This window comes from Homo sapiens, chromosome 3 (assembly GCF_000001405.40).
Source record: "Homo sapiens chromosome 3, GRCh38.p14 Primary Assembly".
Classification (NCBI taxonomy): Eukaryota; Metazoa; Chordata; class Mammalia; order Primates; family Hominidae; genus Homo; species Homo sapiens.
Window position 1 is genome coordinate 49524715 of NC_000003.12, and position 12329 is coordinate 49537043.

The following is a 12329-nucleotide window of genomic DNA, read 5'->3' on the forward strand; positions in this document are numbered from 1 at the left end:
GCCCACACCTGTAATCCCAGGATTTTGGGAGGCTGAGGCAGGAGGATTGCTTGAGCCCAGAAGTTTAAAGCCAGTCTGGGCAATATAATGAGACCCTGTCTCTACACACCCACACACACAAAATACCCGGGCACGTGCCTATGTCCCAGCTACTTGGGAGGCTGAGGTGGGAGGATTGCTTGAGCCTGGGAGGTTGAGGCTGCAATGTGCCATGATCACACTACTGAATTCCAGCCTAGGCAACAGAGTGAGACCCTTATATATACATATACATATATGTATATAAAGAATCATTGCCACTCAAAGTGCTGCTTGGGCCTGATGTCACCAGTACCACTCAAAGTGCTGCTTGGGCCTGATGTCACCAGTACCACTCAAAGTGCTGCTTGGGCCTGATGTCACCAGTACCAAGACTGGAGATGCAGGGGTTTTAGAACATTCAGGTTAGTACTTTTTCTTCCTGAGTAGTACCCATGATCCTGGAGTGACTGCCTGCTTCAGGGCTGTAGATCTAGACACCTGTCCTGCAGCCAGGTAGTGGCCGGGACTTCAGGACCCTGGGGAGCCAAAATTTGCAGAGGGGAAAGCAGGTGACTAGGTTGGAGAGACTTGGCTCTTATATTAGTCTGTTCTTGTGGTGCTATAAAGAAATACCTGAGACTGGTAATTTATAGAGAAAAGAGTTTTAATTGGCTCATGGTTCTGCAGGCTATACAGGGAATATAGTGGCTTCTGCTTCTGGGGATGCCTCAGGAAGCTTCCAATCATAGTGGAAAGCAAAGGGAGAGCTGGCGCTTCACACGGCTGGCCGGAACAGGAGGAAGGCTGGGGGAGGTGCTACACACTTTTTTTTTTTTTTTTGAGACGGAATCTCGCTCTGTCGCCCAGGCTGGAGTGCCGTGGCGTGATCTCGGCTCACTGCAGGCTCCGCCCCCCGGGTTCACTGCCATTCTCCTGCCTCAGCCTCCCGAGTAGCTGGGACTACAGGCGCCCGCCACCTCGCCCCGCTAATTTTTTTTATTTTTAGTAGAGACGGGGTTTCACCATGTTAGCCAGGATGGTCTTGATCTCCTGACCTCGTGATCCGCCTGCCTCAGCCTCCCAAAGTGCTGGGATTACAGGCGTGAGCCACCGCGCTCGGCCTTTTTTTTTTTGAGATGGAGTTTCGCTCTTCTGCCCAGGCTGGAGTGAAGTGGTGCAATCTCGGCTCACTTCAACCTCCGCCCTCTGGGTTCAAGCGACTCTCCTGCCTCAGCCTCTCGAGTAGCTGGGATTATAGGCGCCTGCCAGCATGCCCAGCTAATTTTCGTATTTTTAGTAGAGACAGGGTTTCACCATGTTGACCAGGCTGGTCTTGAACTCCTGAACTCAAGTGATCCACCCACCTCAGCCTCCCAAAGTACTAGGATTATAGGCGTGAGCCTCTGCTCCCGGCCTACACACTTTTAAACAACCAGATCTTGTGAGAACTCTGTCATGAGAACAGCACTAGGGGGGTGGTACTAAACGATCCATGAGAAATCACCCCCATGATCCAGTCCCCTCCCCCAGACCCCACCTCCAACACTAGGGATAATAATTTGACATGAGATTTGGGCAGTGACACAGATGTGAACCATATAAGCTCTGTTTTTCTGACATGACTTGCCCCAAAGACATGGGTAAACTTTACATGGCTGCAAAGCCATGGGTAGACAATAGTAAAAGAATTTGGTCACGTGCAGTGGCTCACAACTGTAATCCCAGCACTTTGGGAGGCTGAGGCAGCCAGATCACTGGAGGCCAGGAGTTTGAGACCAGCCTGGGCAACATGGCGAAATCCCATCTCTAAAAAAAGAAAAAGAAAAAAAAAATTAGCCGGGCATAGTGGCAGTCACCTGTGGTCCCAGCTACTCAGGAGGCTGAAGCTGGAGAAACATTTGAACCCAGGAAGCAGAGGTTACAGTGAACTGAGATCGTGCCACTGCACTCCAGCCCAGGTGACAGAGTGAGACTCTGTCTCAAAAAATAAATAAATAAATAAAATTAAATAAATTGTGAAAGAATTTGTTCTCAGTAGTCAAAATAAAGCTCATTTCTCATCTCCCATCTCCCAATTTGAAATTGAGCATTATAACTTGCTTTGGTGAAACCTGACGTTTTCTTTAGTGTTTATTGTTTGTTACATAATATTAACATGTTTTTAAGTTACTTGGCATAGTTAAAATAAGTGTATGGCTTTCAAGGATGGCTTCGCTGTGGGAGCCTTCCTATAGAATGGCCTGAGTTTGTTCTGTAGGAACTGCCTGATAGCAGAACTTTGGCTGTTGGGGTCAGCAGAATAGGAAGTGAGCCAGGCTGGGAAGCCTTGAGAAGGCAGGGCCCTTCTCTATTTTCTGTTAAAAAGTGCCCTTGTGGCCGGGTGCGGTGGCTCATGCCTGTAATCCCAGCACTTTGGGAGGCCGAGGTGGGCAGATCACGAGGTCGGGAGATTGAGACCATCCTGGCTAACACAGTGAAACCCCGTCTCTACTAAAAATACGAAAAATTGCCGGGCGCGGTGGCTCACGCCTGTAATCCCAGCACTTTGGGAGGCCAAGGCGGGCGGATCACGAGCTCAGGAGATCGAGACCATCTTGGCTAACACGGTGAAACCCCGTCTCTACTAAAAATACAAAAAATTAGCCGGGCACGGTGGCGGGCGCCTGTAGTCCCAGCTACAGGAGAATGAGGCAGGAGAATGGCATGAACCCGGGAGGCGGAGCTTGCAGTGAGCCGAGATAGCGCCACTGCAGTCCGGCCTGGGCGAAAGAGCGAGACTCTGTCTCAAAAAAAAAAAAAACCAACAAAACACGAAAAATTAGCCAGGCGTGGTGGCGGGCGCCTGTAGTCCCAGCTACTTGGGAGGCTGAGGCAGGAGAATGGCGTGATCCCGGGAGGCGGAGCTTGCAGTGAGCCGAGATCACGCCCCTGCACTCCAGCCTGGGTGATAGAGTGAGACGCTGTCTAAAAAAAAAAAGTGCCCTTGTATAGTTGAAGACAGACTTGGAGAGGCAACAGGTTGCTGACTTATCAACACTGATGGAGCGCCTAGCCACTCAGGAATGTCCCATGGTTCTAGCCAGCCATTTGGCTCCCTTCTTCTAGTCCCTCTCAACCTTGTTCAGTCTCCTCTGCAGTTGGCTTCTCCTTAGTTGGCTTTACCCAGACCTCTATTCCAGGCCTTCCCTGTCACCTTTCTTCATCCTCCCTCTGCCATGTGAGCTCGTGTCCTACTGGTGGCCATTGGGATGGAGTAGAGTTAGGAAATAACCCTCAGGTGACCAAAAACCGGGGTCCACACCCTAATTCACCTACTCTCCACCTCTCAGGACCCCTACTTCTATCCCACTCCTGTAAAACATCTCATGGGCCTTACTTATTTGCTTCATGGTGGTTTTTTGTTTGTTTGTTTTTGCAAAACAAGAGCATTCAACCTTTATTTTATGTGTTTATATACGGATGTGGCAGTTTTATTTAATATAAATGAACTGAAAAATGTAAAGCTTAGATTTTTCAGCCAAAACATTTGAAATAGTGTGATTTTTTTTTTTTTTTTTTTTTTTTTTTGGGACAGAGTCTCACTCTGTCATTCAGGCTGGAGTGCAGTGGTGTGGTCTCCGCTCACTGCAGCCTCTGTCTCCTGGGTTCAAGCCATTCTTGTGCATCAGCCTCCCGACTAGCTGGGACTACAGGTGTGCACCACCATGCCTGGCTAATTTTTGTGTTTTTAGTAGAGACGGGATTTTGCCATGTTGGCCAGGCTGGTCTCAAACTCCTGACTTCAAGTGATCCACCCGCCTCAACCTCCCAAAGTGCTGGGATTACAGGCATGAGCCACCACGCCCAGCCAATAAGTGTGATTTTTATGGTTAAAAAATATTTTTAAAGAAAAATATATTTAGCATTTTTCATGAATTTGAAGACACCCATGTTTACAGATGTTTTAACATTTCTGATGTTTGATGGTGAGTGACAGGGTGGGAGATTCTTAATTAGATGATGGCACATCTTAGAGTTGATGCAATGTGGTATCACAAAAGAAACACTATTTGCTAACCCTTAATGAGTGGCTCAGAGAGCAATTAGGAAATGATAACCCTGATAATAATAACGCCTTTTTTTTTTTTTTTTCTGAGATGGAGTCTCACTCTGTCACCCAGGCTGGGTTGCAGTGGCGTGATCTCAGTTCACTGCAACCTCCGCTTCCCAGGTTCAAGCAATTCTTATGCCTTAGCCTCCTGAGTAGCTGGGACTACAGGTGCCTGCCACCACATCCGACTAATTTTTGTACTTTTAGTAGAGATGGGGTTTCGCCGTGTTGGCCAGGCTGGTCTCGAACTCCTGACCTCAGGTGATCTGCCCACCTTGGCCTCCCAAAGTGCTGGGATTACAGGGGTGAGCCACCATGCCTGGCCCAATAATAATAATTCCTAACAATGTCAGTAATCTCATGGTTAAAAAAAATTTTTTTTTTGAAATAGAGATGGGGGTCTCACTGTGTTGGCCAGGGTGGTCTCTAATGCCTGCTGGCCTCAAGCAATCCTCCCGCCTTGGCCTCCCAAAGTACTGGGATTATAGGTATGAGCTACCATGCCCAGCTTTCTCATACATTTTTGCTGGGTGTAGGAAACCTGTTTAAATTAGTTTAAAGGGGGGAAATTATCTAGTTTCTGATAAGGCTGCTGCCTGGACACCTGGGTACAAGCCTGGGGTCTCCTTTCCAAATCACTCAAGTACTTTGTTTTTTGGCAGGAGGAAGCCCAGGGAACCAGAGGCACTGGGGAATCCAGCAGTCAGTGGCTTTAGCTTTCCTGCCACAGGGAGGGGGAAGCATTTTAGGGTCCCCCTATTGATAAGCAGTGGTCATGAAGGGCAGTCCTAAGCTGAGTCTGGGAGTGTGATGTACTGTGTTTTGGCCAATTTGTCTCTGGTACTTGTTATAGGACAATGGAGATGAGAGTGCCTTCAGGCCAACCAGAGAATGGGGGGTGTCACTTTTCTTGCATTGGGGCAGGAGTAGGTGTTTCCCAAAAGTGAAAGGAGCCACAGATGGGGCTGGGGCAAGAGCTAAGTCATATTTTCCTCTTGTCAGCTGTTGGTGGAGGTTTCTATGGTGGCATTTCCTTGGGTGCTCTGAGTATGACCAGTTATATCTCTGTGGAAAGGGACTTCCACAACAAAAGAAGTCTGGGAGATGCTGTTGAGTTGGAATAAGGTGATGAGCTCCTTAGGCCTGCTTCTGTGCCTGGTCTCTCCAAGGGCAGAAGAGGTCTCTGTGTATTTCCTGTACTTGATTGACTGTAGAACCTCTCTCTTTTAGAGAGACCAGAGCTCCTTGGGATTCCTTTAGTAAGCACTATTCTAGAATAGTTGATTCTAGTCTCTGCTCCCTGGGTACCACAGTTTGTCTTGAGATTTGAGAAGCAGGGTAAATGAAAACATTAGATACAACTAACTCTCTTTGCTACACAAATGTGCCCCACTACACTTGAATGTAACGTGATGTTGTAATGTGAGTCCTTCAGAGCGTTGAGCCTTCCCTTGTACCCAGACCTGTGTGCATCTCCACTTTGGGGCAGGAATGGTCCTCCAGGCCAGGCATGTGACCTGAGCAAAGATGTGGTGTCTGCAGAGGGCCGGGGAGAAGTCTGAGGCAAGGGTGGAAAGGAATGCTGAGGGCTGGAATGTGACTTGATTCTTCAGGTAGAATGGGCAAGTAGGTGGCAGGGCGTGTCACTGTTATAAAATCCACAACAGTCGTGAGCTCCATGGCATCAGTTCTTGGGAATGAGACATGTGCTTGAGTGCCAGCACTGCTGTCTCCCCACTGTGTGGCCTTGGGTGAGATATTTGCCTCCCAAGTTAGCCCATCTCATAGCCCTAGTCTTGTGACAGGTAAATAAACTCAGTTGTGTCTCTCTAGGGGGGAGGAATCAGCTTCCCCAGCAGGCATTCTGAATTATACCTTAAACCTGTCACACAATTCAGGTTAACTGTTGTGATCATATTCAGGTTATGCAGTGACAATAGTATTTTTAATTTATGCTTGTGTCTCTTCTAGGTATCAGCGGCAGGGAAGGAGGCTTTGCCATCTTGGCTGCACTGGGACTCACAGAGCCACACCCTGGAGGGCCTCCCCCTTGACACTGATAAGGGTGTGCATTACATTTCAGTGAGCGCTACACGGCTGGGGGCCAACGGGAGCCACATCCCCCAGACCTCCAGTGTGTTCTCCATCGAGGTCTACCCTGAAGACCACAGTGAGCTGCAGTCGGTGAGGACAGCCTCCCCAGACCCTGGTGAGGTGGTATCATCTGCCTGTGCTGCGGATGAACCTGTGACTGTTTTGACGGTGATTTTGGATGCCGACCTCACCAAGATGACCCCAAAGCAAAGGATTGACCTCCTGCACAGGATGCGGAGCTTCTCAGAAGTAGAGCTTCACAACATGAAATTAGTGCCGGTGGTGAATAACAGACTATTTGACATGTCGGCCTTCATGGCTGGCCCGGGAAATGCAAAAAAGGTGGTGGAGAATGGGGCCCTTCTCTCCTGGAAGCTGGGCTGCTCCCTGAACCAGAACAGTGTGCCTGACATTCATGGTGTAGAGGCCCCTGCCAGGGAGGGCGCAATGTCTGCTCAGCTTGGCTACCCTGTGGTGGGTTGGCACATCGCCAATAAGAAGCCCCCTCTTCCCAAACGCGTCCGGAGGCAGATCCATGCTACACCCACACCTGTCACTGCCATTGGGCCCCCAACCACGGCTATCCAGGAGCCCCCATCCAGGATCGTGCCAACCCCCACATCTCCAGCCATTGCTCCTCCAACAGAGACCATGGCTCCTCCAGTCAGGGATCCTGTTCCTGGGAAACCCACGGTCACCATCCGGACTCGAGGCGCCATTATTCAAACCCCAACCCTAGGCCCCATCCAGCCTACTCGGGTGTCAGAAGCTGGCACCACAGTTCCTGGCCAGATTCGCCCAACGATGACCATTCCTGGCTATGTGGAGCCTACTGCAGTTGCTACCCCTCCCACAACCACCACCAAGAAGCCACGAGTATCCACACCAAAACCAGCAACGCCTTCAACTGACTCCACCACCACCACGACTCGCAGGCCAACCAAGAAACCACGGACACCCCGGCCAGTGCCCCGGGTCACCACCAAAGTTTCCATCACCAGATTGGAAACTGCCTCACCGCCTACTCGTATTCGCACCACCACCAGTGGAGTGCCCCGTGGCGGAGAACCCAACCAGCGCCCAGAGCTCAAGAACCATATTGACAGGGTAGATGCCTGGGTTGGCACCTACTTTGAGGTGAAGATCCCGTCAGACACTTTCTATGACCATGAGGACACCACCACTGACAAGCTGAAGCTGACCCTGAAACTGCGGGAGCAGCAGCTGGTGGGCGAGAAGTCCTGGGTACAGTTCAACAGCAACAGCCAGCTCATGTATGGCCTTCCCGACAGCAGCCACGTGGGCAAACACGAGTATTTCATGCATGCCACAGACAAGGGGGGCCTGTCGGCTGTGGATGCCTTCGAGATCCACGTCCACAGGCGCCCCCAAGGGGATAGGGCTCCTGCAAGGTTCAAGGCCAAGTTTGTGGGTGACCCGGCACTGGTGTTGAATGACATCCACAAGAAGATTGCCTTGGTAAAGAAACTGGCCTTCGCCTTTGGAGACCGAAACTGTAGCACCATCACCCTGCAGAATATCACCCGGGGCTCCATCGTGGTGGAATGGACCAACAACACACTGCCCTTGGAGCCCTGCCCCAAGGAGCAGATCGCTGGGCTGAGCCGCCGGATCGCTGAGGATGATGGAAAACCTCGGCCTGCCTTCTCCAACGCCCTAGAGCCTGACTTTAAGGCCACAAGCATCACTGTGACGGGCTCTGGCAGTTGTCGGCACCTACAGTTTATCCCTGTGGTACCACCCAGGAGAGTGCCCTCAGAGGCGCCGCCCACAGAAGTGCCTGACAGGGACCCTGAGAAGAGCAGTGAGGATGATGTCTACCTGCACACAGTCATTCCGGCCGTGGTGGTCGCAGCCATCCTGCTCATTGCTGGCATCATTGCCATGATCTGCTACCGCAAGAAGCGGAAGGGCAAGCTTACCCTTGAGGACCAGGCCACCTTCATCAAGAAGGGGGTGCCTATCATCTTTGCAGACGAACTGGACGACTCCAAGCCCCCACCCTCCTCCAGCATGCCACTCATTCTGCAGGAGGAGAAGGCTCCCCTACCCCCTCCTGAGTACCCCAACCAGAGTGTGCCCGAGACCACTCCTCTGAACCAGGACACCATGGGAGAGTACACGCCCCTGCGGGATGAGGATCCCAATGCGCCTCCCTACCAGCCCCCACCGCCCTTCACAGCACCCATGGAGGGCAAGGGCTCCCGTCCCAAGAACATGACCCCATACCGGTCACCTCCTCCCTATGTCCCACCTTAACCCGCAAGCGCCTGGGTGGAGGCAGGGTAGGGCAGGGGCCTGGAGACGACATGGTGTTGTCTGTGGAGACCGGTGGCCTGCAGACCATTGCCCACCGGGAGCCGACACCTGACCTAGCACACACTGACACAGGGGCCTGGACAAGCCCGCCCTCTCTGGTCCTCCCAAACCCCAAAGCAGCTGGAGAGACTTTGGGGACTTTTTTATTTTTATTTTTTGCCTAACAGCTTTTGGTTTGTTCATAGAGAATTCTTCGCTTCATTTTTGATGGCTGGCTCTGAAAGCACCATGTGGAGTGGAGGTGGAGGGAGCGAGGAACCATGAATGAACTCGCAGGCAGTGCCGGGCGGCCCCCTGGCTCTCTGCGTTTTGCCTTTAACACTAACTGTACTGTTTTTTCTATTCACGTGTGTCTAGCTGCAGGATGTAACATGGAAAACAGTAACTAAAGATTAAATTCAAAGGACTTTCAGAAGTTAAGGTTAAGTTTTTACGTTTAATCTGCTGTTTACCTAAACTTGTATGTATAATTTTTGGGTGGGTATGGGGAATTGCTTTGCTAAAAATAAGCTCCCAGGGTGTTTCAAACTTAGAGAAGACCAAGGGACAGTATTTTTTATCAAAGGAATACTATTTTTTCACACTACGTCAACTTGGTTGCTCTGATACCCCAGAGCCTGATTGGGGGCCTCCCGGCCCTGGCTCACGCCAAGTCCCTGGTGCTGGGTTTGCTCTCCCGCTGTTGCCAGGGGCTGGAAGCTGGAGGGGTCTCTTGGGCCATGGACATCCCCACTTCCAGCCCATGTACACTAGTGGCCCACGACCAAGGGGTCTTCATTTCCATGAAAAAGGGACTCCAAGAGGCAGTGGTGGCTGTGGCCCCCAACTTTGGTGCTCCAGGGTGGGCCAGCTGCTTGTGGGGGCACCTGGGAGGTCAAAGGTCTCCACCACATCAACCTATTTTGTTTTACCCTTTTTCTGTGCATTGTTTTTTTTTTTCCTCCTAAAAGGAATATCACGGTTTTTTGAAACACTCAGTGGGGGACATTTTGGTGAAGATGCAATATTTTTATGTCATGTGATGCTCTTTCCTCACTTGACCTTGGCCGCTTTGTCCTAACAGTCCACAGTCCTGCCCCGACCCACCCCATCCCTTTTCTCTGGCACTCCAGTCCCAGGCCTTGGGCCTGAACTACTGGAAAAGGTCTGGCGGCTGGGGAGGAGTGCCAGCAATAGTTCATAATAAAAATCTGTTAGCTCTCAAAGCTAATTTTTTACTAAAGTTTTTATACAGCCTCAAATTGTTTTATTAAAAAAAAGATTTAAAATGGTGATGCTTACAGCAGTTTGTACGAGCTCTTAAGTGTTGATTCCATGGAACTGACGGCTTTGCTTGTTTTGATTCTTTTCCCCCTACTTTTCCTAATGGTTTAAATTCTGGAATTACACTGGGGTTCTTTTGCCTTTTTTAGCAGAACATCCGTCCGTCCATCTGCATCTCTGTCCCATGACTCAGGGGCGCCCACTCTGCTTCGATTCTCCTCCTGTGGAAGAAACCATTTTGAGCATGACTTTTCTTGATGTCTGAAGCGTTATTTTGGGTACTTTTTAGGGAGGAATGCCTTTCGCAATAATGTATCCATTCCCTGATTGAGGGTGGGTGGGTGGACCCAGGCTCCCTTTGCACACAGAGCAGCTACTTCTAAGCCATATCGACTGTTTTGCAGAGGATTTGTGTGTGCTGCCTCAGGAGGGGAGGGCTGGTAGGAGGGGGGGAGAGGTCTCTGTCCTACTGCTCTCCAGAGGGCATTTCCCCTTGCGCCTTCTCCCACAGGGCCCAGCCCCTCTCCCCTGCCCCAGTCCCCAGGGGGTACTCTGGAGTGAGCAGTGCCCCTGTGGGGGAGCCTGTAAATGCGGGCTCAGTGGACCACTGGTGACTGGGCTCATGCCTCCAAGTCAGAGTTTCCCTGGTGCCCCAGAGACAGGAGCACAAGTGGGATCTGACCTGGTGAGATTATTTCTGATGACCTCATCAAAAAATAAACAATTCCCAATGTTCCAGGTGAGGGCTTTGAAAGGCCTTCCAAACAGCTCCGTCGCCCCTAGCAACTCCACCATTGGGCACTGCCATGCAGAGACGTGGCTGGCCCAGAATGGCCTGTTGCCATAGCAACTGGAGGCGATGGGGCAGTGAACAGAATAACAACAGCAACAATGCCTTTGCAGGCAGCCTGCTCCCCTGAGCGCTGGGCTGGTGATGGTCGTTGGACTCTGTGAGATGGAGAGCCAATCTCACATTCAAGTGTTCACCAACCACTGATGTGTTTTTATTTCCTTCTATATGATTTTAAGATGTGTTTTCTGCATTCTGTAAAGAAACATATCAAACTAAATAAAAGCAGTGTCTTTATTACAACGCCGTTGCATCTGGGCATCTGTTTCCCTGGCATCTGGAGAGGTTCCTGGACATGAGGGGTTGGGGGCTCATGTGACGGGGAAGAGGAGACTCAGCCAGGTCCACTTGGGGTTGGCCCAGTGGCCTCCATGTAAGCCTTACCATTTCTGTGCTGGGAGGGCTGGGTGTGCACTCCAGAAACTCTGCCAACATGTAATGCCCCCTTCACCCCTCTTCTGCCTGTGAATCAGCTAAGACAAGTCTCCTACATCCTCAGTTCCTCCTCTGTAAGGGGTGGGGGATAGCAGAGAAACCAGTGAGACTGGCTGGGAAGGAGGATGGTGGGAAAGTGTCACGGGTTTTCTGCCCCAGAGTGTGTCAGCCCCTGTACCTCCTGGGTAGGGTTCCTTCAGGCCAGGTCTCTGTGAAGATGGGGACCTAGGGATACCTCTGGCTGCAGCTCTACCCCACCTCCTGCCTGCATTATCTTGTGGGCTTGGGACTGGCTAGTCTCCCAGGTAGTCTCAAGGCAGGTTTGTGTTGGCCTTGGGGTGGGAACAATGGTTTCTGGCCAGGCTGCTCTGCCTTGGTTGGCCTGTAGGTTCTGGGGGTTGGGGGGTGACCTTCAGTCCCTGGCTTGGGATGGACAGTCCAGCTGGGTAGGCTGATCATGACTCAGTGCCCAGGAAGGGGCAGATGGGTTGTCCTAGGACACTGCTCGGAGTGTGGGCGGCAGGAGATGCAGCAGCTGTGTTTCAAGGGGCAAAGGGGCAGAATCGAGTGATTGGTCACAGAACAACTGGTGCCTCTTCTGGGCTCAACTCTGCCATCCCTGGCTCCTTACCATGACCCCTGCTCCTCTGCTCAAAGACCCACAGAGGCTGGTCCGATATTGCAGATAAGAGCTGATTCCCAGGGTGGGGGGGTTGTTGAAGGTCCAACAACTACTTGGAGTTAGGACCTGAATGTGCACCATGCTAAGTGCCAGGAAAGGCTGTCCCCAGCACACACTTCACTCCCTAGGCCTAGCAGCAGGGGCCCAGGAAATGACCCCGTCGTTATTCTCTTGACCTCAGGAACTTTTGCTTAACATCTAACCTGAAGCCACTGGGTAATGAGTGGACTCACTGTTCTGAATTCAAGTAAGGGAATACTTGGTCTTGGCAGAGAACATTAAGGCCAGAAGGACCTCTGGCCTCAGCTCTGCCCTGCCTCTTTTGGGGGATGGGGTAGTATCCGCTGTTTAGCCCAGCAGACCCTTGACCCCTGGCACTCCTGCCAGATCCCTGTTCCTTGATTTGGATGAGGACTGCTCAGGTCTTTTAAGCTGGGGTTAGAGGGTCGTAGACAGGAGAGTAGGAAAGAAGGAACATCAGACCTACAGGAATCTGCCTTCCCACATTCCTCTGACTTGGAATGACTCTGGCCTGGCTTGGAGACAGTGCTGGT

The 12329-nt window shown here is 51.2% G+C and overlaps 1 protein-coding gene across 55 annotated transcripts in view, besides 1 other annotated feature; it reads left to right on the forward strand.

Annotated features, from left to right (window-relative positions):
* DAG1 (dystroglycan 1) overlaps positions 1 to 10901 on the forward strand; it is a 66668-nt gene extending 55767 nt beyond the window's left edge. For all 55 annotated transcript variants that reach the window (XM_047447546.1, NM_001177643.3, NM_001438888.1 and 52 more), the window contains one exon: positions 6083 to 10901. In XM_047447546.1, coding sequence (XP_047303502.1) covers positions 6083 to 8485 — 2403 coding nt within the window. In that variant the 3' untranslated portion in view covers positions 8486 to 10901. The remainder of the gene's footprint in view (positions 1 to 6082) is intronic.
* Positions 10024 to 11022: an enhancer, noted in NCBI's record as "H3K4me1 hESC enhancer chr3:49572171-49573169 (GRCh37/hg19 assembly coordinates)". NCBI's record gives its function as "activates a minimal SCP1, AML or CMV promoter by ChIP-STARR-seq in naive H9 embryonic stem cells {active_cell/tissue: H9 hESC(naive)}" and the evidence as "EXISTENCE:reporter gene assay evidence [ECO:0000049][PMID:30033119]".